Source organism: Homo sapiens, chromosome 12 (genome assembly GCF_000001405.40).
Source record: "Homo sapiens chromosome 12, GRCh38.p14 Primary Assembly".
Lineage (NCBI taxonomy): Eukaryota > Metazoa > Chordata > Mammalia > Primates > Hominidae > Homo > Homo sapiens.
This window is the reverse complement of record NC_000012.12, coordinates 109,853,343-109,877,672: the sequence shown is the minus strand read 5'-3', so window position 1 is coordinate 109,877,672 and position 24,330 is coordinate 109,853,343. Positions and strand designations below refer to the sequence as shown.

The 24,330-nt window shown below is 48.7% G+C and overlaps 1 protein-coding gene and 1 pseudogene across 2 annotated transcripts in view; both read left to right on the top strand.

The window, feature by feature from the left end:
- Window positions 1-24,330, top strand: part of GLTP (glycolipid transfer protein) — a 29,597-nt gene that overhangs the window by 2,869 nt on the left and 2,398 nt on the right. Inside the window, exons 2-4 of one of the 2 annotated variants that reach the window (NM_016433.4) lie at window positions 18,932-18,990; window positions 20,014-20,147; window positions 21,904-22,054. In NM_016433.4, the coding sequence (NP_057517.1) occupies window positions 18,932-18,990; window positions 20,014-20,147; window positions 21,904-22,054 (344 nt within the window). Of the gene's footprint in view, window positions 1-18,931; window positions 18,991-19,538; window positions 19,819-20,013; window positions 20,148-21,903; window positions 22,055-24,330 lie in introns of those variants that run through there. The other variant, XM_047428937.1, reaches the window with a different exon arrangement.
- RN7SL441P (RNA, 7SL, cytoplasmic 441, pseudogene) lies at window positions 11,164-11,459 on the top strand (annotated as a pseudogene).

Here is a 24,330-nt window from a genome sequence, read left to right as displayed (position 1 = left end):
GAAACGCCTTGCAGCTACAGTTTCCTCCAAGTCAGGGATTTTCCACCATGGCACTTGCCAACATTTGGGGCTGGCTCATTCTTTGTGGTGGTGGGGCTGTCCTGTGCATTGTAAGATGTTTAGCAGCATTCCCGGCCTCTACCTACCAGACGCCAGTAGCACCCCCTCCCCAGATTGTGACAACCTAAACTATCCCCAGGGAGGCAAAATCACCTCTGAGAACCATAGCTCTAGATATAAATATGACTCAGAGCCAAAAGCTGTGTTTTTAAAAAGTATTTAATTCTGCAAGGAAGATCTGTCAATTGGAGGAAAACTGAGCAAATACAAATGATATATAAAAATTTCCCCGTCACTCACTGAGCCCTTACTATGTGCTAAGTACTCTATGTAGATTAGTTCATTCAATTGTCTGACAACATTTGAGGTAGAGTTTTGAAGAAAGAATCTCTGCTGGGATTTCAGAATATTTTCCTTCCAAACTCATTTACATCGGTCTTTTTGGGGAAAAAAAAGTATGGGCTGGTGCGGTGGCTCACGCCTGTAATCCCAGTACTTTGGGAGGCCAAGGTGGGCGGATCTCTTGAGGTCAGGAGTTTGAGACCAGCCTGGGCAACATGGCGAAACCCTGTCTCTACCAAAAGTACAGAAAATTAGCTGGGTGTTGAGGTGCACACCTGTAGTTCCAGCTACGCAGGAGGCTGAGGTGGGAGGATCACTTGAGCTTGGGACGCCTAAGTTGCAGTGAGCTGAGATTATGCCACTGTACTCCAGTTTGGGTGACACAGCAAGATCCTGTCTCAAAAAAAGAAAGAAAGAAAGAAAATCTACATAAAGCCTATTTCTTGCTCATTACTGGTTGACAGAGTGAGACCCTGTCTCAAATAAATAAATAAACAAATAAGTATAACCTGCTTTTTCTACCCAACAATATAGCATAACCATCTTTTCATGTCAGTCCTTTTCTGTCTTTCCTTTTCTTTCTTCCTTTTCCTTCCTTCCTTCCTCTTTCTTTCCTTCCTTTCCTTCTTTCTTTTCTTCCCTCCCTCCCCCTCCCTTCCTCCCTTCTTCCCTTCCTCTCTTCCTCCCTTCCTTCCTCTTTCTCTTTCCTTCCTTCCTTTCCTTTCTTTTCTTCCTTTCTTCCCTCCCTCCCTCTTTCTTTCTTCTCTGTTTTTCTTTCTTTCTGTCTTGCCATGTCACCCAGGCTGGAGTGGTGCAGTGATGTGAACTCCTGAGCTCAAGCAATCTTCCCACTTCAGCTTCCTGAGCAGCTAGAACTACAGGCATGTGCCACCATGCTTAGCTAATTTTTAAATTTTTGTTTTTGTAGAGATGGGGATCTTGTTATATTGCCCAGGCTGGAGTGCAGTGGCATGATCTCGGCTCATAGCAACCTCCACCTCCTGGGTTCAAGTGATCCTCATGCCTCGGCCTCCCAAGTAGCTGGGATTACAGGCACATGACTCTATGCCCAGCTAATTTCTGTATTTTTAGTAGAGATGGGGTTTTACCATTTCGGCCAGGCTGTTCTTGAACTCCTGACCTCAAGTGATCTGTCCGCCTCAGCCTCCCAAAGGGCTGGGATTACAGGTGTGAGCCACTGCACCTGGCCGATTGTATCATCTCAATGTGGTATAATTTATTAAACCAAGCCCCTACTGTTGGACATTCACATTGCTTCTTATGTCGGGCTCTGGTAGACAGTGCTGCAGTGAACATCCTTATATTCAATTATTTGTGCACTCCTTTGGTTATTTCTCATTTTTAGAAGTGAAACTGCTGAGTTGAAGAGTGCTTTAACCTGTTAGAGCAGCCACATTTCTTAAACCTTTGTTAGGTGTGGTTTGTGACAGCATTAGTTGGGCTTGCTTCAGTGGGCGCTGGCTGCGGGCCAGCCTCTTGCCTGCCTGATTTAGCGCATCCATATCTTGGGCCTGCCCTTCCTCCTTATCTCCAATTGGAATCTCCCAGTTGTACAGGTTTTACTACATCCACTTAGAGGCCAGCCCTTTGTTTATCTTCTCTCTCTACCTTGACCCAGTAATCAGATCTTTCCTGACTGATCAGTTTGCAAGACTGACTTCTGGGAGGTCTCCTTTCTCATTTTGAAGGTCAATTTTGTGGCTGTTCTAAAGCATTAACAATGGGAGGGCAGGGGCATGGAGACTTAGGTATCATCTAGTTCTTGACATTCCCTGTCTAGAAGCCTCTGTGGTTCCCTTTCATCCCAGCTTGAAACCTGTGCTTTAGCCTTTGTGAATGGTTTGTAGCCCCACACATGGCAGTATTGTCATACTCTTGCCTCCAGAGCTTCCCCACATCAGCCCCTCTGCCTGCTGGACCACTCTACTCTTCAGCCCACCTCCCTCCTTTTGCCTGTTTGGGTTCTACTTATCCTTAAGGAGTTACCTTATCCAGAATGTCTCTCCTAACTCTCTTAGACTCCCATGGACCCTATCATATTCTGTGACTCTGAGTTATTTCAATGTGTAACACTCGGTGCTAGTACTTTTCGCTGAATGACTGCTTTTCATTCCATTCTCATTCTTCTGGGTTCTTGTTGAAGATGCTGGGCCCTTCTCTCTCTTTCCAAATTAAAATAGATGAGTAGGCCAGGCATGGTGGCTCACTCCTGTAATCCCAACACTTTGGGAGGCTGAGGCGGGCAGATCACCTGAGGTCAGGAGTTGGAAACCAGCCTGACCAACATGGAGAAACTCCGTCTCTACTAAAAATACAAAAAAAATTGGTCGGGCATGTTAGCATTCTCCTGTAATCCCAACTACTCGGGAGGCTGAGGCAGAAGAATCCCTTGAACCTGGGAGGCGGAGGTTGCAGTGAGCTGAGATTGCACCACTGTACTTCAGCCTGGGCAGCAGAGTGAGACTCCGTCTCAAAATAAATCAACTAAACTAAACTAAAATAAGATACATGACTAAATTAAAATACATAACCCCCTCATAGCCTGTACTTGTGGCAGACATCATTAATCAATCATGATGCTGTTTTCCCCTTTGAGCCTAAACACAGCCTCGGCATCTTTATTAACACAGCCACTCCAGGTCAGTTAGAGTGCTGCATGAGATGATACCTATTTGCTCTCACTGTTTAGGGAGAGTCTAGAGATGGAAGAGCTGAAGGTAATGATTCTTCATTACCTCTCGGTTCTTGAGATCCAAATTCTGGGGTTGATTTTTCTTCATGCCTCTTACCTTAATTAAATGGATGTCTGTGGAATGTGGCCTTCTAGGTATCCGGCACGCATTAAATAGTCCTAGAGTGAACCCAGAAAGAGTGGTTTTCCATCACTTTTGGTTCAGTGCTTGTTCCATTTTGGGGGAGGGTGGCAGTGGCAGCCTAGAATCAGAGATTTATCTTGTTTTACAGCCAAAGAAACCGAGGCCAGAGAGGTTAGGTGACTTGCTCAGGGTCACACAGCCAGTGAGTGACCAGTAAAGCCAGACTAGAACTTGGGCCTCTGGACACCTTATGCACCAGACTAGAACTCAGTCCTCTGGACTCCTTATGTGGTGCTCTTGCTGTCATGCCTGCTGTCCTGGCTTTCTCTCTGGCAAAGGAGAAGACCCCCAGTGGAGCCAGCCTGGTTGGGTACTTGAGGAATTCCAGTGGTTCTGCTGGCACCATGGTGACTTGTCCACATGACAAGTGGTGTGGGTGCCACAGACCAGACATGCAGGTTTGCTCTGAGGTGTGTAACTCATAAACAGCCCGCCAAGCTGGTCCATAACTCCTGTTTATTTGAATGTAAATTAGAAAATGACTGGAGTGTTGAAATCGTCTTGTGGGAAAAGCCCCAAACAAGTTGGCTGGTTGTGTGTGTGTGTGTGTGTGTGTTTTGTTTAAGAGACAAGGTCTTGCTTCATCGCCCAGACTGGCATGCAGTGGGGTGATCACAGCTCACTGCAGCCTCCAGCTCCTGGGCTCAAGTGATCCTCCTGCCTCAGCCTCATAAGTAGTTGGGATTATAGGCGTGTGCCACGGCGCTCAACTCTTGCTTTTTTTTTTTTTTTTTTTTTTTGAGACAGAGTCTTGCTCTATTGCCCAGGCTGGAGTGCAGTGGCACGATCTCGGCTCACTGCAACCTCTGCGTCCTGGGTTCAAGTGATTCTCCTGGCTCAGCCTCCCCAGTAGCTGGGATTACAGATGTGCACCACCATGCCCGGCTAATTTTTTGTATTTTCACTAGAGACAGGGTTTCACCATGCTGGCTAGGCTGGTCTTGAACTCCTGACCTCATGATCCACCCACGTCAGCCTCCCAAAGTGCTGGGATTACAGGCGTGAGCTACCGCGCCCAGCCTCAGCTCTGGCTTTTCCTTCATCTGGGACATCAGGCTAACTGGGAACCAGCCCCACCTGTACCCCTTGATCTGTGAGTTAGAAGCTCCCCCACTGCAACAAGCATCCTCTGAGATTTGGGACCACCTACCACAGCCTTACAATATTTTCTGCTTTTTTTTTTTTAAATTTAAAGTTAATGCTAATACCTGTTTATTTTTGGTTTTGTATAGAACAGGGGTGTACAATTTTTTGGATTCCCAGGGCCACACTGGAAGAATTGTCTTGGGCCACACATGAAATACACTAACGCTAATGATAGCTGAGGAGCTAAAAACCAAAACAAAACAAAACAAAACTCAAATCTCATAATGTTTTAAGAAAGTTTATGAATTTGTATTGGGCCACATTCAAAGCGGTCCTGGGCCACATGCAGCCTGCGGTCTGCGGGTTGGACAAGGTTGGTGAAGAATATCCCAAGAAAGACAAGAAACTGTATTAACCCTCCTAATATAGCAGGTGAGTTATCATTTTGATTGACTGTTGAGAGCTGGATTCTAGTGGAATGTGATTTAGATTGTGTGCCTGGGAGGGACCCTGAGAAGATGAAACAAATAATGTCTTGTTGGAGGAAGAAGCCAGAGAGACACTTTCTGCAATGGCTGTACAATTTTGAAACTGCTGGCAGACTTCGGAGATGCATTTGCAAGTAGTAAGTGAGGCTTTTTTAGCCTTCAGGAACACCTGCTGTGTGCTGGTGCCGTGCTGGTGGGTCCCACTCTTGATCCCACCTGGCCAGAGAACAATCTGGAAGGAGGGCTATGGAGGGCCCTATTGTGTTTTTCTGTCCATGTGTGTAACAGCCCATGAGTCGGCTGTTTTTGAGGCTCAGAGGGGAGAAGTCACTTTGAGTCTGATTCTCTTCCTCTGACATCCATGCCCTGAACACCGTGGACAGATGAGTGGAAGGAAACACGGAGACTGGCATCCATCTGAGCCAGCCTGAGCTTGAGAGGCCCCGAGGTGGCTTCTTTTTGGCAGCTCCGTTTCCCAACAGCTGTGTGGCAAAAGGCCCACTTCCTAAAGGTCTAGGGCCATCCATCCTACCTTTGGAAAGATGTGGTGAGTCCAGGCAGGAGCACCAAAATCAATGCCTGACTTGGTGAATGACTGCCAGGGCACAGAGCCAGCTGCATGGCTGCTTAAGTCTGACAATTGCTCCAGCAGCCTCCTTTATAATGTCCAAAGGCCAGAGTACATACAGACCAGTGGCACCCGCCCACCCGGTCCTGGGATGGTGGTGATTAGATCTTTGTGTTCAGAAAAATCTGGCCCTTGAGGTCAGAGCCTGAGGTTTGGCCTCTCTGCTGCCAGAAGGACGAGGATTGAGTAGGAGGGGAGAGACTACAGTTGCTTGCTAACTCATCTTGCCCCTCCTCTGCTGCACAGGGATGCTTGGAGGGACAGCCCTCCACTGTGAATCCCTTGGGGCAGAAGTCAGGCCCTCCCAGGACCCACCAATGGGCTTCTGCAGCATGGGCGCCCAGCCTATATCCACGTGAAAAGGAATGGGAGGAATTCATGACAAAGGGCTTTATAAAATATAACGTATGACCGTGATCATAACTAGCATCATCTCTATTTTGAGTGGCTCCCAGGATATGCCATTGAATTAGGCAGTAACTCATTTCTAATCCTCATGATGAACTTAGGAGGAATTTGGCACCATTTTCCAGAAGAGGAAACCAATGTGCAGGGAGGTGAAGCGATTTGATCAGGTCATGAAGGTAGGAAGTGGTCCACAGGACTTTACAGCAGGTCTAGCCCTGTAACAGGGGAGACCAACACCACATCAGGAAACAGGAAGACGTTGGAAGTCGTCTCTAGGGCAGAAATGTCCCTTGTAGGGGAGGAGGGGAAATGATAGGAAGTTCCCGGCTGGCATGACAATGTGATTATTTCAATGAGCTTCTTAGAATGGAAATATTGGGGCCGGGCGCAGTGGCTCATGCCTGTAATCCCAACACTTTGGGGGGCCGAAGCGGGTAGATCACGAGGTCAGGAGTTTGAGACCAGCCTGGCCAACATGGTAAAACCCTGTCTCTACTAAAAATACAAAAAAAAATTGGCCAGGTGTGGTGGCGCAATCCTGTAATCCCAGCTACTCTGAAGGCTGAGGCAGGAGAATCGCTTGACCCAGGAGGCGGAGGTTACAGTGAGTCGAGATCACGCCACTACTCCAGCCTGGGACAGAGCGAGAGTCCGTCTCAGAAAAAAAAAAAAAAAAAAAAAAGAATGGAAATGTTGGGTCCTAGTCTTAGGTTTCATTGTTTCAGTAAAAACCTGCCAGAGTGAATGTTAACTCCTTTTATTACGTACTTACAGTGGTACTTATATGGAGGCCTTTTTTGTGGTTCTTGCTAGAGTGTTAACTGTATCTGAGCTTTTCAAAGTCATTGCAGTGGATCAGCCCTCTCCAGGGTCTTCTAGAAGCCTCTGCTTTCCACCCTGGCAGTTAGGCAGTCGACTCACACTTCCCCTGTGTTCAGAAATGATTCATTTTCTGCCTTGCTGTTCCTCCAAGTTCCTTACTTCACTCCCTTCTGAGATCTCTGTCTTAATGGTCTGGAATACATTTGAAGTCATTATTTTATGATGGGGAGATTTCTGCTAATTTTACCCCTAACAATCAATCAATGAGTCAATAATTCTTTTTCTCCCTCCTCCCTTCCTTCCTCTCCTTCTGCTTTGATTTCTTAATCATTGGAATAATTGTTTTCTGGATTTCCTCTCTAAAGAAAAGCTTTGTCTGTTGGGAAAGGTGATGATGATATAATTTATAATAATAAGCATAAATGATAATACCTTCTTTTTATTTTATTTTATTTTATTTTATTTTATTTTTGAGACAGAGTCTTGCTCTGTCACCAAGGCTGGAGTGCAGTGGCATGATCTCGGCTCACTGCAACCTCCACCCTCCCCCTAGGTTCAAGCAATTATCTTACCTCAGCCTCCCAAGTAGCTGGAATTATAGGCACACACCACCACACCCAGTTAATTTTTGTATTTTTAGTAGAGATGGGGTTTCACCATGTTGGCCAGGCTGGTCTTGAACTCCTGACCTCAGGTGATTTGTCCGCTACAGCCTCCCAAAGTGCTGGGATTACAGGCCTGAGCCATGGTGCCCAGCCTAATACCTTCTTTTTCACTGAGCACTTACTAGGTACCAGAAACTGTGCTTAGGCCTTTATTTATACAACTTTATTTAAGCCTCACAGCAACCCTTTGAAGAAGGGTCCATTATGAGCCTCATTTTAAAAATGAGGAAACTTGCCGAGTGCGGTGGCTCATGCCTGTAACCCCAGCACTTTGGGAGGCCCAGGCAGGCAGATCTCTTGAGGTCAGAAGTTCGAGATATGGTGAAACCTTGTCTCTTTTAAAAATACAAAAATTAGCCAGGCATGGTGGCACAAGCTACTCAGGAGGCTGAGGCAGGAGAATGGTGCGAACCTGGGAGGTGGAGGTTGCAGTGAGCCGAGATCGCGCCACTGCACTCCAGCCTGGGCAACAGAGTGAGAGTCTCAAAATAATGATAATAGTTTTCCCAGTTGAGTGTGGTGGCTCACACCTGTAATCCCAGCACTTTGGGAGGCCGAGGCAGGCGGATCACAAGGTCAGGAGATCAAGACCATCCTGGCCAACATGGTGAAACCCTGTCTCTACTAAAATACAAAAAAACAAAAAAAAAAAAATTAGCTGGGTGTGGTGGTGCTTGCCTATAGTCTCAGATACTCGGGAGGCTGAGGCTGGGGAATCGCTTGAACCTGGAAGTTGGAGATTGCAGTGAGCCGAGATCAGGCCACTGCACTCCAGCCTGGCGACAGAGTGAGACTCCGTCTCAAAAAAAAAAAAAAAAAAGAATTTTCCCAACTGCATCATTCTTAGTTCAAGACTGTTTTTTCCTGAACCGGGAGCAATTATAGGACAAATAGTTGGCATGTCATGAGGGTGAAGTTTTTCTTTTTTTCTTTCTCTTTCTTTCTTTCTTTCTTTCTTTTTTTTTTTTTTTTTGAGGTAGAGCCTTACTCTGTCGCCCAGGCTGGATTGCAGTGGCGCAATCAATCTTGGCTCACTGCAACCTCCCCATCCTGGGTTCAAGTGATTCTCCTGCCTCAGCCTCCTGAGAAACTTGGATTACAGACGTGCACCACCATGCCCGACTCATTTTTGTATTTTTAGTAGAAACGGGTTCACACTATGTTGGCCAGGCTAATTTTGAACTCCTGGCCTCAAGTGATCCACCCGCCTTGGCCTCCCAAAGTGCTGGGATTACAGGAGTAAGCCACTGTGCCTGGCCCGGGGGTGAAGTTTTTAAAGAAGTATTTTGAATTGTTTTGTAAACATTCTTTCCTCTTTAGGTAGTAGACTCAGAGCAGGAACCTGTTTTAGAAATGTAGGTAATCTCAAGGCTCGTATCCTTAAAAATAGGCCTTATAGTAAGCAGAGCCATGACAACCCGCACCCCCAGATTAATAAATGATTCATCTCCATCAGCTGTAATTTGAGTGTCTTCCATTATGATCCTTGTAACCCAAGACCTATAAAGTTAATCTGCCTCATGTGTTTAACAACTGAACTTTATTATCCAGCTATGAAAAAAACCATTGAATTTGCAATAGAACCTCCCCACACCAGGCTTGTAGCATCACGACACGGGCATCCTGTTCTTCCTTTCTGGAAATGACTGTTTATGAATTGGGTTAGGTGTGTTCTGTCCTGAATCACACAGGCTGAAAGTGAAGCAAGCTGTGCATCTTTAAGAGTCCTTTTTTTTCCCTGAACATTGTTCTTGAGATGAAACGAGAGGGTAGGCCAGGGCAGGGCAATTTGGTCACCTTGTTACTCAATGTCAGGAACATCCCATGTTGTAAGAGATGGCTGTTTGAAGAGGCAGGCATGGAGGGGCAGCTTGGATGGCAACTTCCAGGTATATGCTGTGGTCTTGCTAAGAGCATAACGACCAGTACTGTCCAACTCTCTTGAGGCCAGAAAAAGAGGAAATGAGGTCGGGTACAGTGGCTCCTGCCTGTAATTCCAGTGCTTTGGGAGGCCAAGGCGGGAGGATCACTTGTGGCTAGGAGTTCAAGACCAGCCTGGGCAACAAAGTGAGTCCCCATCTCTACAAAAAATTAAAAACAAAAAATTAGCTGGTCGTAGTGACATGTGTCTGTAGTCTCAGCTACTCCAGAGACTGAGGCTGGAGGATCACTTGAGCCTCGGAGGTCAAAGCTGCAGTGAGGCCAGGCGCGGTGGCTCACGCCTGTAATCCCAGCACTTTGGGAGGCCAAAGCGGGTGGATCACGAGGTCAGGAGATCGCGACCATCCTGGCTAACACGGTGAAACCCTGTCTCTACTAAAAATACAAAAAATTAGCCAGGCGTGGTGGCGGGCACCTGTAGTCCCAGCTACTCAGGAAGCTGAGGCAGGAGAATGGCGTGAACCCAGAAGGCGGAGCTTGCAGTGAGCTGAGATCGTGTCAGTGCACTCCAGCCTGGGCGACAGAGCGAGACTCCGTCTCAAAAAAAAAAAAAAAAAGAGAAAAGAAAAAGCTGCAGTGAGCTGTGATTGTGCCACTATACCCCATCCTTGGTGATACAATGAGACCCCATCTCAAAAGAAAAAAGAGAAATTAGTGTGATTCTGTGTAGCATATGGTCACTGCTGGCTTACAGGGAATTCTGCTTTCTGGGCAATGTCACCCATCTGAACTGTGGCAGAGATCCAGGCAGGAGGCCCCAGATAGCCCTTGTCTAGTCAGAATTGTCCCAGAGGCCATGCATGAAACCCCTCATTGGTGCATACCTTCTCTTTGCAGGAGATTCTGATTCTGGTGGCTATTTGGTATTTAAGTATCTATAAGAATTTGGCTGGGCACGGTAGCTCACGCCTGTAATTCCAGCACTTTGGGAAGCCGAGGTGGGTGGATCGCTTGAGCTCAGGAGTTTGAGACCACCCTGGGCAACATGGTGAAACCCTGTCTCTACTAAAATACAAAAAATTGGCCTGGCATGGTGGCGTGCGCCTGTAGTCCCAGCTACTCGGGAGGCTGAGGCACGAGAATTGCTTAAGCTCGGGAGGCGGAGGTTGCAGTGAGCCGAGATTGCTCCACTGCACTCCGGCTTGGGCTATAGAGTGAGACTCTGTCTCAAAAAAAAAAGAATAATAAATAATTGAAGCACTGCAGGAAGAAGTAGCTGTCAACCATCAACAGGAGTTTTAAAAAAATACACAAAGTTGGCCAGGTACAGTGGCTCATGCCTGTAATCCTAGCACTTTGGGAGGCCGAGGCTAGAGGATTGCTTGAGCCCAGGAGTTCAAGACCAGCCTGGGCAATGGTATAGTGAGTCCCAGTCTCTACAAAAGGTAAAAAAAAAAAAAAAAAAAAAATTAGCCCAGCATGGTGGTGCACATCTGTAGTCCCAACTACTCTGGAGGCTGAGGTGGGAGGATTGCTTGAGACCAGGAGTTCCAGACTACAATGAGCCATGATTGTGCCACTGCATTCCAGCCTGGGCAACACAGTGATACCCTGTCTCAAAAAAAAAAAAAAAAAAGATACACAAAGCTGTCTAGTTGTCCTAAAAGCCTAAAGGCACACCATCCAGAGTCATTTAGTGACGGTTTGAGGGGACCAGTGACATTTCTGGGCTACATCTTTATCATAACTCGTATTTTTGATGATGGCCCTGTTCAGAAAGCTACGAATGGCTTCCACTATGAAAGCAGTGACATTTGTGTTACATTTTGATGAGTTCCATCCAGGATGGCTGAACTAGAATGCTGATGGTATATTCATATTTGAGAGCCAGGCACAGTGGTGCACACCTGTAGTCCCAGGTACTCAGGAAGCTGAGGCAGGAAGATCACTTGAGCCCAAGAGTTCTTGGCTGTAGTGTGCTACACTGATTGGGTGTCTGCACTAAGTTTGGCATCAATATGGTGACCTCCTGGCAAAGAGGACCACCAGGTTGCTTAAAGAGGTGTGAACTGGCCCAGGTCAGAAACAGCAGGTCAAAATTCCCATGCTAATCAGTAGAGGGATTGCACCTGTGAATGGCCACTGCACTCCAGCCTGCGCAATATAGCAAGACTCTTTTTTTAAAAAATGGTAGATGGAAAATATTTCACTTTTTTTTTGTTATTATTGAGATTAAGCATCTTTTCATTTCTATTGTGAATTGCCCATTGTTCTGTAGGGCTGTTGTTTTATTCTTACTGATTTGTAAGAGCTGTTTACATATTAGGGATATTAGCCTTTTTTCTGTTATCCTTGTTACACAGACTCTCTACTCTCTGCCCCCCTAGTTGTTTGGCTTTGGTTGGTGGTGGGATTTCTCGTCTCCCCCATATAGGAGGTTTCTGTTTTTTATAATTAGATTTATTGGTTTCTTTCCTTGTGCCTTCTGAGTTGAGTAGCGTGCATTGGAAAAAGCCTTCTCCATTAAACAGAAGGGGCCGTTTGCCAGCTGTTCCAGATAACCAAGGCTTTACTGTATTTGGAATCTGCTCACTCTAGTTGGGTCTGTGAAAGAAGATGGTGGGACCACATCTGATTTTTCTTTTTTTAAAGACAGCTTCAGGCCAGGCATGGCGGCTCACGCCTGTAATCCCAGCACTTTGAGGGGGCCAAGGCTGGCAGATCACTTGAGCCCAGGAGTTGGAGACTGGCCTGGGCAAAATAGTAAGACCCCGTCTCTATTTTTTTTTTTTTTCAAACAGAATCTCACGCGCAATCTCAACTCACTGTAACCTCCGCCTCCCAGGTTCAAGTGATTCTCTTGCCTCACCCTCCCAAGTAGCTGGGATTACAGATGTGCACCATTATGCCCAGCTAATTTTTGTATTTTTAGTACAGATGGGGGTTTCACCATGTTGGTCAGGCTGGTCTTGAACTCCGGATCTCAGGTGATCCGCCCGCCTCGGCCTCCCAAAGTGTTGGGATTACAGGCGTGAGCCACCATGCTCGGCCTGACCCTGTCTCTATTAAAAAATAAGAAGAAGAAGAATAAATAAAAAATGTTTAAAAGACAGCTTCCTTTCTCCCTGAAGGTCATGAACTAGAAAACCCTCCAAGTCCCTTCCCTCCCTCCAGGCAGACAGGTTCTGGGTGGCATTTCAAAGAGGCTGTTTGCTGACAACAATTGAAAAAAACAAGTTTGGAGTAACTGCAAAACTGGTCAAACAAGAAGGGTAATTTGGGGTTAAGGCTGCATTCTGTAGGAAAGGGAAGGCTTGAGAGCCTGGTAGAAACATGTCATGCTGTATTCAGAGCAGGCACAGGCTTGAATTTAAACTCTTAGAGGCTGGGTGCGGTGGCACACGCCTGTAATCCCAGCTTCTGGGGAGCTGAGGCAGGAGAATCACTTGAACCCGGGAGGTGGAGGTTGCAGTGAGCCTAGATTGCGCCACTGCACTCCAGCCTGGGCAACGGAGTGAGACTCTGCCTCAAAAAATAAAATAAAATAAAATAAGTAAATAAATAAAATAAACTATTAGAAAAGCCACCACATGCTTGGGAATTAAAATCGTCTTCTGGTTTCCTATTTTCTCTGAGTTCACAGGACCTCAAAGAAACATTCTTTGAGTTCAAAGAATGGTAACATTCTAGACAGAAAGGTTAAGGGTGTAGTGGAAGCAGCTTTGGCTCTGGAATTGTGTCTGAGTTCCTGGCACTCCCTGGAGTGTAACCTGGGCAAGTCATTTGGCTTTTCTGTGACTTGATGTCCTTGGACTGCACCAAAGGCAAACATAAGCCCAGAGCCTTGGGTGGGTGATGTTGAAACAGGCTTCAGCCCAACCATATACAGAGCACTTCCTGTTTGCATAGCACCTCTGGGCTGTAGAAACCGAAGGGCCTGAACCTGGAGTGGTTAAGTCACTTGGCCAAACTCACACCAGAGCTGAGATTCAAACCCAGGACTGTGGATGCCACTGCTTCAGTGCCACTGCCCAGGTTGACGCCACTGCTAATTGCAGGCAGCCCACCTCCAGATGCTTCCAAACCCACTTCAGCGTGCTTGTTTATGTAACACAGAGATGCATACAGAGCTGCCTTTCCTGCTGGTGGCTCCCTGTGGGTAGAGCATGGAAGTAGTCTGGGGTCTTGTTCCCAGCCCCTGCCTCGCCTCCCCTCTCTTCTGCTAGGCTCCCAGCCCCAGAAGTGCATTTGAGGCCCCACATTCCTCCCCTACTGTTGAGCGGGAGCTCTGGCCCTGTGTGGTGGCCCCACACACAATAACAGCTGCTGTTGGGGCCCAGCTTCTGCTGACCATGGTGGCCTCGTGACCCTCGTAGCTCATGGTTAGGAGAACACAAAACAAAAAGCCTTTCTCCCTGCCACCAGGGCAGGGCTGCTCAGAACTGCACAAGGATGCTGCATAACATTTTTCTGCATCTCTGAAATGCATGTTGAATGACCGGAGTCATTAAGAAAAGCTAATAAGCCACCCATGGTCGATGGTGATCTGTCATCAGGCCCTGCCGTCATCTCTTCTTCACTGGAAGGCTTTGGTTGAAAACCAGCCAGTGGCAGTAAAAACAATCGTGGTCAGTGCTTTGAGCCCTCACTTTGCACGTGTGACACCTCTCTCTCACAGCAGCCCTGCAGAAGAACATCCTAGAAGGATATCCGTTTTATAAACAGGGGAACTGAGGCCCAAAGTCCCTTCACATATCCTCTGTCATCTGGGTTGGATAGGTGTTTAAAACCAGTGTGTTGGGTCAGTCTGAACCATAGGAGGGTACAGAGATGGAGAGCCTGGCAGGGAAATACGCTGACAGATTCCACGTTTCCCACAGTCCATTCATTCACTCATTCATTCATTCCACAGATGTCATACAAGTACCAACTGGGGTCAGGCATCTGCTGGGTGCTGGGGGCATAGCAGGGAACCTTGTCCCTGCCCTCTTCAGAGCTCAAGTCTGGTGGCAAGATTGTTGGTTTAAAAAACAAAGGTGTAACACATGTGACTATGATCACTGTAACAGTAAAACAGACTTGAAAGAAAAAGTAGAAAAAGAAATAGGATTTTATGAGCAGAAAAAAAACCTGACATTACTTTTTTCAGTATTTTCTATGAGAAAATTCAAACATGTGGCGAAGCTGAAAGAATTTTACAGCAAATAGTACTCATACACCTATCATCTAGATGTTACCATTAATATTTTACTGTGCCTATCTATCCATATCTCTGTCCATCCATCCATCAGTCTAATGTAAGCCTTTGGACATTATGCATTTTTATTTTTTATTTATTTTTTTGAGATGGAATTTCACTCTTGTTGCCCAGGCTGGAGTGCAGTGGCGCAGTCTCGGCTCACTGCAACCTCTGCCTCCTGGGTTCAAGTGATTCTCCTGGCTCAGCCTCCCCAGTAGCTGGGATTACAGACATGCACCACCACACCTGGCTAATTTTTGTATTTTTATTAGAGATGGGGTTTCACCAAGTTGGTCAGGCTGGTCTTGAACTCCTGACCTCAGGTGATCCACCCGCCTCGGCCTTCCAAAGTGCTGGGATTATAGGCGTGAGCCACTGCGCCTGGCCCACATTTTAATTTTTTTTTAGAGATGGAGTCTCACTCTGTTGCGCAGGCTGGAGTGCAGTGACACAATCATAGCTCATTGCAGCCTTGAACTCCTGGGCTTGAACGATCCTCCCACCTCTGCCTCCTGAGTAGCTGGGACTACAGTTACATGCCACCACGTCCAGCTCATTATACATTTTGGGAAGATGAGGATGTAAAGCCGTCAGCTGGAGCTGAGGAACAGCCATACGTCTGCATGGGTTTTGCCAGTCCCCATGTAGCCCATCCATGGCACCTGCCTGGCCCCCTGTGAGGGTTGGAATTTGCACCCCCTGGCAGCACTGTAGTCACTGGCAGAGGAAAGAGGATCTTGGCTCCGGCGTTATTATGTAAGTTGAGAATGCACGGTCCTTTCAGAGAGGCAGCAGTAGCAGTGCTGGAAGAGAATACCTTCCAGGGCTAACAAGTGGCATGACCTCCCCAGGCTGGCCTCTACACGCAGCGGAGGTCAGTGATCCATCAGGTGAGGTTAAAGGGTGGCATGGAGTCGTCACCCCATTGATGCTTGGCAGGCCTGTCTGGGAGACCAGAGCACCCTGGATTCTTTGCCCGCACCCCTGGCGCAGCACCTCTGAGCAGCCTCTGACGTGACCACCCTAGGGAAGGCTCCAGCATGGCCCCTTGCTGGGAGATTTGCCTCTGCAGACGTTGGAAAGAGGCTCAGTTGCCGAGAGGAGACTGCTCGTGGCCTAGCATGACGACAGCATGCCCGGAGCTTGCAGCAGGTCAAGGTGGCAGCCCCAGCCCTAGCGGGGCCTCACAGGGGAGCACAGAGAAAGCAGCAGGGGCACAGGTCAAGGATGAGTCCCACTCGATGGAGGTTCTGGGGAATCCTGTGGCTTCCACGATGATGTCATTTGCTGGGTCACAGCACATGACCCTAGTAATGATATGAGGTCATAAAAATGATTGAAGTTCAGGTACTGAGTGTTCACCACTCACCGGGCACTCTGCTACATGTGTTTGGTGCCTTATTTTTTTTTGAGGTGGAGTCTTGCTCTGTCGCCAGGCTGGAGTGCAGTGGCACAATCTCGGCTCATTGCAACCTCTGCCTCCCAGGTTCAGGCGATTTTCCTGTCTCAGCCTCCTGGGTAGCTGGAACTACAGGCACCTGCTACCACGCCCGGCTAATTTTTGTATTTTTAGTAGAGATAAGGTTTCACCATGTTGGCCAGGCTGGTCTCAAACTCCTGACCTTGTGATCCGCCCGCCTTGGCCTCCCAAAGTGCTGGGATTACAGGCGTGAGCTACTGCGCCTGGCCTCGGTGCCTTATTTTTAATTTCTTAAAGAAGCATATGAAATAAGTACTACTATTGCCCCATTTGACACAAGAGGAAACTGAGGCACACAGCGGCGAGGAGACTTGCTTGGCTGGGGAGTGGTCGTGCAGGATTCTCACCCTGTCTGGCTGAATCCCTAGCCCACCTTCTTTCCATTGGGCTATGGGCTGTTTCCTTAAATGTTTAATGCTGTTTCTCTCATGCACCTCTTTTCATAGCTGCAATTAGAATGTTCCAGATGGCTGGCCAGGTGTGCAGGGTCACCCTGGGTGGAATTTGGCTTAAGGAAGTTCCACCCCTAGCCTTCTGCCCTCATGCGGTCACTTGGTGCCCACACTGAGGTCCCTGTCTGGCCTCCTGGGTATTGGCCTTTCACTCCCGTGGGATTGGCACCCACCTCTAGCCTGCTCTGGGGTCTTTGTCCCCTGGGCTCTGTAGCAGGCTTAGTGAGCTCACTTTTCTGGACCGCAACAAGGACAATGAAAAGGTGTCATGGAAGCCCGGTAATCTGTCTTCAGGCTCAAAGGTAAAGTCCACATCTAGCCTGCTCAGTAAAGAACCTGCATACTTCCTGCATGTAAGGGGCAAGATGTCCTGTGACAGCCTGCCATGGGGGTGACAAAAGAGGGAGAGGAGGAGAGGCAGGCAGCAGGCTGCTCACATTTCAGCAGATCCCAGCAGTCCTAGGCACTGCCAGGCAGTTTCCAGGTCTACATTTTATCATCTCCAAGGTGTTACCTATTATATGATGCTCCGACATATTATAACCCACCAAGAAAGGAAAACGCCTCCATTTAAGAACATTCTACTGGGTGTGATGGTGTATCCCTCTAATCCCAGCACTTTGGGAGGCTGAGGCGGGAGGATCGCTTGAGTCCAGGAGTTGAAGCCTGCAGTGAGCTGTGATCTTGCCACTGTACTCCAGCTTGAGTGCCAGAACAAGACCCTGCCTTTATTTTATGCATTTATTTATTTTTATTTATCTTTCTTCAGTTGCCAAAGGACCCTGTCTTTAAAAACACACATAGGTGCATGCTACTATTGAAGACAATGGCGAGAACAAATTAAGAGGGCAGGAGTCCAGGAGTGTATTTCATATAGCCAGCTGAAAACACTTTAAGGCTACCAACAAAGCAAAACCAGTTACCACTAGTCTTAAGAAGATAAACGAGGCTGGGCACAGTGGCTCACGCCTGTAATCCCAGCACTTTGGGAGGCTGAGGCGGGCGGATCACCTGAGGTTGGGAGTTTGAGACCAGGCTGACCAACATGGTGAAACCCCATCTCTACTAAAAATACAAAATTAGCTGGGCATGGTGGCGTGTGCCTGTAATCTCAGCTACTCGGGAGGCTGAGGCAGGAGAATCGCTTGAACCTGGGAGGCGGAGGTTGCGGTGAGCTGAGATTGCACCATTGCACTCCAGCTTGGGCAAGGGGAGCAAAAAGTCTCGGGGAAAAAAAAGTTAAACGTTATGAATGATGAAAAAGTCAACAGAGTAGATAAAGCTTTTGTATTCAAAAACTGCAATTACTTTTGCACCAATCTAATAAATATACGAGATTTGCACACTTCTTAAAAGGACTTTCTCTTGAACCTCTGTAGAAAGAACTGATTCCTCAGCAGCATCATGAAAATAAAGTAGTTAATATTGATGAAGCTACAAAATTAATGGCTCAGTTCTAATATAGTGGTGATGCATCAAATTCCCCCAAAGACCAATAAATCAAATGTTTTATACAATTAAAAAAAAACACATTGTACAGCTCTAGAAAAAAATTCTTTATATCCTTATTCTATGAGCTTTTTTCTATTATAAAAGTTAAGTACTTTTTTTTAAAAAAAATCTTTTTTGTTAAAAACAGACACATTAGCTTAGGTCTACACAAGATCCTGATCATCAAGATCTGTGCAAAAAAAAAATTATTTTTTGAGACAGAGTCTCGCTCTGTTTCCCAGGCTGGAGTGTAGTGGCGTGATCTCCCCTCACTACAACCTCCACCTCCCGGGTTCAAGCAATTTTCCTGCCTCAGCCTCCTGAGTAGCTGGGATTACAGGCGCAAGCCACCACGCCCAGCTAATTTTTGTATATTAGTAGAGACAAGGTTTCACCATGTTGACCAGGCTGGTCTTGAACTCCTGACTTCAAGTGATCCACCCGCCTCGGCCTCCCAAAGTGCTGGGATTACAGGCGTGAGCCACTGCACCAGGCCAAAAATTTTTTTTTAATTAGCCGGGTATGATGGTGCGTGCCTGTATTCCCAGCTACTCCAGAGGCTGAGGTGGGAGGATGGCTTGAACCCAGGAGGTCGAGGCTGTGGTCAGCTATTATCACACCACTGTGCTCCAGCCTGAGTGACAGAGCGAGACCCTGTCTCAAGATAAACCTCAAAGAACAAACAAATACCATTCTGATTCTAGAGATGAATCAAATGTGTGTCTTAGGATTGGATTGTTTATTTCAAGCCATCTTCATCATGCCTCTGTGGTTGGTGCTGTAGCCTCATTTGCCAGATAGGAAACAGGAAGCTGAGAGAACAGAGCTGGGGGCTGCACCCAAGCCCATGCTGCCTTAGTAACATCCAGAACAACTCAGCTCTCCCCGGGACACACCATGTAATCCACCCTTCCATGTCCCCATGGCCTGCGGTGGCCCTGAAAAATCACTCTTGCTGCGAATCTCAATCTGTCTTCTCATTTTGTCCCCAGATTGCCTTGGGTCCCCAGTGTTTACTCCCATCAAGGCAGACATAAGCGGCAACATCACGGTATGTACCTGGCCGGGCAGCCACAGCCCAAGACTTGCGTTAGGAATCTAAGCCCACCTGGGTTACCAGCATCATGGTCCCAGCTGCAAGCTTCCCACCCCAAGGAAGGGAATGGAGACATGGAAGATGGGCCCCAAGCTTGTCCAATCAGGGCTCAATGTTCTCTGCCCTCCTCCACAGTCTTGCCATCTGGTCACCAGTCTAGCCTGACTGGAACCAAAGTCTAATTAAAGGGTTGACCCTGAGAAGGAACCTGCTGGTTCTTTCATCTATCCCCACCAAGTAAGTAAGCTCCAAAGTCTACAGTCAGCACTGGTCTGGCCTTCCCCTTCTCCAATCCTGGTAGTTCCTGATGCCGCCTCCCCAGCCATAGACTGCCTGTGAGAATCCACCTAGGGCCCAGCCAAGGGCTTGGGACACACTGCATGATCTCATTTCTTCATCCCAGCAGCCCTTTGAGGCTGGTCCTGTGTTATCCCCTTTTTACAGATGAGGAAGCTGAGACTCAGAGGGGTTGAAGGACTCGCTTAAGGTCACAAGCAAGTACGTGGCAAAGCTGGGATTCAGACCCAGGCCTACCTGGCTCCATCTCAGAGGCCTTCGTTCCTGGACTTCTTGGAATCCTCGGAACCTATTTCCACTTGTCCACCAAAGCAAAACTTCAGATACTTGGTGTCTGAGGCAGTGTCAGTAGTGGCTGGAGAACATGAACTCTGTACCAACTGTGTGACCTTGGGCAAGTCCGTGCTCCTCTGTGAGCCTCAGTGTCTCTGCCTGTAAAATGGGATAATGACAGCAACATCAGGTTTGCCACCAGGATCATATAAGGTAGTGCCTGTAAAGCATTTTGCAAATCCTGGCTCATGTGAACAGTCATAGTTATTGTTACAAGTCTTATCCCTGCTGTTCCTGGAGGGCAGGAAGGAGCAGGAGATGCCGGTAGGGTGCTTTTCACCCAGCGTGCGGGCCAGATGTCTATGGGGGCAGCTTACCCAAGGGGAAATCTTGTGTGCTCCATTTCAGAAAATCAAAGCTGTGTACGACACCAACCCAGCCAAGTTCCGGACCCTGCAGAACATCCTGGAGGTGGAGAAAGAAATGTATGGAGCAGAGTGGCCCAAAGTAGGGGCCACACTGGCGCTGATGTGGCTGAAAAGGTGATGGGCTCAGGTGGCAGGGCCTGGGCTCTGTGCTGCAGAGGAGGGAAAGCAAACCTGTCACTGTTCCGCAGTGTCAGCTCAGGCTGGGAAGGTCACTTCCGAGCCCTTCCAGTGTGATGCTAGTTAATGGCTGGGAAAAGGCCTCCCAATGGCCAGGGCTTGCCTGACAGTGATGCTTCCTGGTTCCAGTCCCATCAGTATATGAGCACACCCTGATCTGGGAGTTGTGCTAAGCTCTTTATACACCTGATTGGGTTTCATATTCTGTGAGTTAAGTGTGGTAGCTATTCGCATCTCACAGAGGAGGCAGCTGGCGCTTCTGGAGGCCAAATCACGTGCCCATGTCATCCAGCACAGTTATGCAGGTTGCGTACTGCACAAAGGTGTCCTGTTTAGGGCTGGTCACGCGTACAAAGTGGATTTGTATGTTATGACAGTTTCTTGGTAGAAGTACACCATCTTGAGGAGAAGGAATTCTTCTATTTTTTATTTTTAGAATCCCGTTCTGTTACCCAGGCTGGAGTGCAGTGGCACAATCTCGGCTCACTGCAGCCTCCCCCTCCTAAGTTCAAGCAATTCTCCTGCCTCAGCCTCCTGAATAGCTGGGATTACAGGTGTGCACCACCATGCCTGGCTAATTTTTGTATTTTTAGTAGAGACAAGCCCGCCATGTTAGCCAGGCTGGTCTCAAACTCCTGGCCTCAAGTGATCCGTGTGAGGCAGGTGTGAGGCACCGTGCCCGGCCGTGAGGAGGAGTTCTAATTTGCACAAATACATCCTATGGGCTAGTTTGAACTCATGCTGTTCTCTACCAGCTACAGACTCTTCAGCCCTTAAACCCAGTGCTCCTGCCCCTTAGAGCACCCCACCCTGACTTGATCCCCACCCCACTGCAGGGAGGGAGCAGAGCAGCTCATCTGGGGACCCCAGTGGGACAGTGAGGGGCAGCAAAGGAAAGAGCCTGCTGGGGGTCAGTGAGGCAGGCAGGGTTCACATCCTGGCCTGTGACTGAGCCTTTCTAGGGGAGCCTCAGTGCTTTCCTCTGTGAAATGGGCTGATTGTGCCAAGCTCAGCCTCACAGGCCCCAGGGAAGCAAGAGATGAGATGATGTGTGCTAAGGGGCTGGCCCTGGTGAGATTTTCGATGTGGACTCCTTGTTGTACCCCATCCGCTTCTCCTGGCTCTCAAAACATCACCCTGCCCCTTGAGGAAAAGCTCGAGTGGCCATTGGAGGATGCTCAGGGAGGTCTCAGGCAGAGGAGCACCGTAGCAGACTTAGAAAGATGCTGAGGGCTGGGGAGTGGAGGCGGGAAGCCTGGTACACGCGGGGCCAGTCTCGCCAGTGTGCCCAGTGTATCCACAGTCTGTGGTCCGCGAACCCTTCGAGGGCCAGCACTGTGGCTTCATTCCTCAAGCCTGATGGTTGCCTACCATGTTCCAGCCTGTGGGGGTCATGTGGACACAGAAATGGACAAGGCAGGCCCAGACCCACCCCTCGTGGATCTTACAGCCAGTGTGACTTGTCATGGGCCAGCACCAGGCCTGGAGGAGAGAAGGTGCTCGGGAGATAGTCAATGGAGCCAAGTGGTCACGTTACTTGTAAGCAGAAGGGAAAGATGATTAGGGAATAACCACTCCCTCTGGGGCGCCCATGTTCCTGGCTCACAGTAGGTGGCAAATTCAGAGTCCATCAGGGTCTTTCACGACAGGGCTGTGCAGGGTCCTAACGAACCTTCTCCTCCCTGGGCCACAGAGGCCTCCGCTTCATCCAGGTCTTCCTCCAGAGCATCTGCGACGGGGAGCGGGACGAGAACCACCCCAACCTCATCCGTGTCAACGCCACCAAGGCCTACGAGATGGCCCTCAAGAAGTACCATGGCTGGATCGTGCAGAAGATCTTCCAGGTGAGCCACCCCCATGAGCCCCAAAGGACCACCAGCTTGCAGATTCTGCTCCCCACTCTGCCCCTGCTTAGCCGAGGCCTCCTGGCCTGTGAGGCTGTGTTTACCCCCTCGGGCTCAGGAAGGGCTCCCTCATCTATTTGGGTGAGGCTAGTGTACTGAGAGGTCCCCCTCCCGTGCCCTTGGCCAGCCCCATTCACAGCTGCAGCGGGTGTCACTGTAGCTACTCCACGGTGTTTCTCTTTAGGGGCCTTGGCCTGCAAGGCCTGATGGTGGGGCGACGAGAAACCACAGGGAAAGCCCTGGAGGACCCCAGGTCAAAAGTGGCCCAGCCTGATGGCCCCTCAAATTTACCCCTCCAATTCGACCCCTCAAATTCAGCTCCCATTCCCCTGGGAGCATCTGCTGAAAGGACACCGGCCCTCTGGGTTCTTGGTGGCTTGTGTTGGGGTGACATTGGCCAGGGCTCCTGGAGGTGAGGCTTCAGCACCTGCCTGGTTAGGTGAGGGCCCTACAGTTGATCACCAGGCGGACAGCCCTGCTCAGGAGACTTGCGAAGGCCCTCCGGCTGCCCTGCGCCATGCCCTTCACCTGCTGCTTGCTGCCCTCATCTCACCCACGTGTTCCTGCCCGGCCTGTTCTGGCCACCCTTTCTGCTGCAGCTCCCTCTGCCTGCCCACCCTGGCGGCCATGAGAACGAGGGGCTGACGGGCCCTGTACAGTGTTCCTGTGGGGTACAGTCTGCAAGCAGGCTGGGGCAGAAGCCAGTATGGTTCCAGAGAGGAAGAGCTGGTCATAGGGTGAGATGCGTGGCAGCCCCTGGGCCATCCACCCCGGAAGAGCTGTAGACAGGGCCCATTCCCATGGGCCCCTCGAGAGCTCCACAGTGCATTGCCCCTACAAATCCTCAAACCACCACGTCAGTAGTAATAGTGTGTCCTGTGTACCTGGCCCAGGGCAGCTGCCCATGAATTGTAATCTTCACAGATGCACCACAAGGTGGGCACTGTTCTCACTTCCATTTCCCAGATGAGGACAGTGACGCTCAGACAAGGTCACACAACACAGAAATGGGGGGCTGTGATCCTACCTCCCTGAGCCTCAATATCATCTTTCAAATGGGTATAAAATAGGCACTACTCAAAGAGTCATTGTGACAATTAAATGAATTAATCACTATAAAGTGCTTGACACATGGTTCACATGGTTTACACTCAGTACATCAAAGCTATTACTTTTTTTTTTTTTTTTTTTTTGAGACAGGGTCTCACTCTGTCGCTGTCGCCCAGGCTGGAGTGCAGTGGCACAGTCTTAGCTTACCGCAACCTCCACTTCCCAGGCTCAAGCGATTCTCCAGCCTCAGTGTCTTGAGTAGCTGGGACTACAGGTGCGAGCCACCAACACCTAGCTAATTTTTGTATTTTTTGTAGAGACGAGATTTCACCATGTTGCCCAGGCTGGTCTCGAACTCCTGAGCTCAAAGCAATCCTCCCACCTCGGCCTCCCAAAGTGCTGGGATTACAGGCGTGAGCCACCACCCTAGCTATTACTGCTTTTATTATGAAAGAATAATATTTGGCCAGGCGCGGTGGCTCATGCCTGTAATCCCAGCACTTTGGGAGGCAAGGCAGGTAGGTGGATCACCTGAGGTCAGGTTGGAGATCAGCCTGGCCAATATAGTAAAACACCATCTCTACTAAAAATACAAAAAATTAGCTGGGCATGGTGGCGGGCACCTGTAGTCCCAGCTACTCGGGAGGTTGAGGCAGGAGAATCACTTGAACCCAGTAAGCGGAGGTTGCAGTGAACCAAGATCACGCCACTGACTCCAGCCTGGAGGACAGAGTGAGACTATGTCTAAAAAAATTTTTTAAATAATATTTATACTTTCCTCATCCTATCAAACTCATGGCCTAAACTTTTTTTTTTTTTTTGAAACGGAGTCTCGCTCTGTCACCCAGGCTGCAGTGCAGTGGCGTGATCTCAGCTCACTGCAACCTCTGCCTCCCGGGTTCAAGCAATTCTCCTGCCTCAGCCTCCCGAGTAGTGGGACTACAGATGCCAGCCACCACACCTGGCTAATTTTTGTATTTTTAGTAGAGATGGAGTTTTATCATATTGGCCAGGCTGGTCTCGAACTCCTGATCTTGTGATCTGCCCACCTCGGCCTCCCAAAGTGCTGGGATTACAGGCATGAGCCACCGTGCTTGGCTAGCCTAAGCTTTTTATCTAGTTGTACCTTTTTTCTTCTGGCTCTGAAATTCTGTGAATTTTGAATT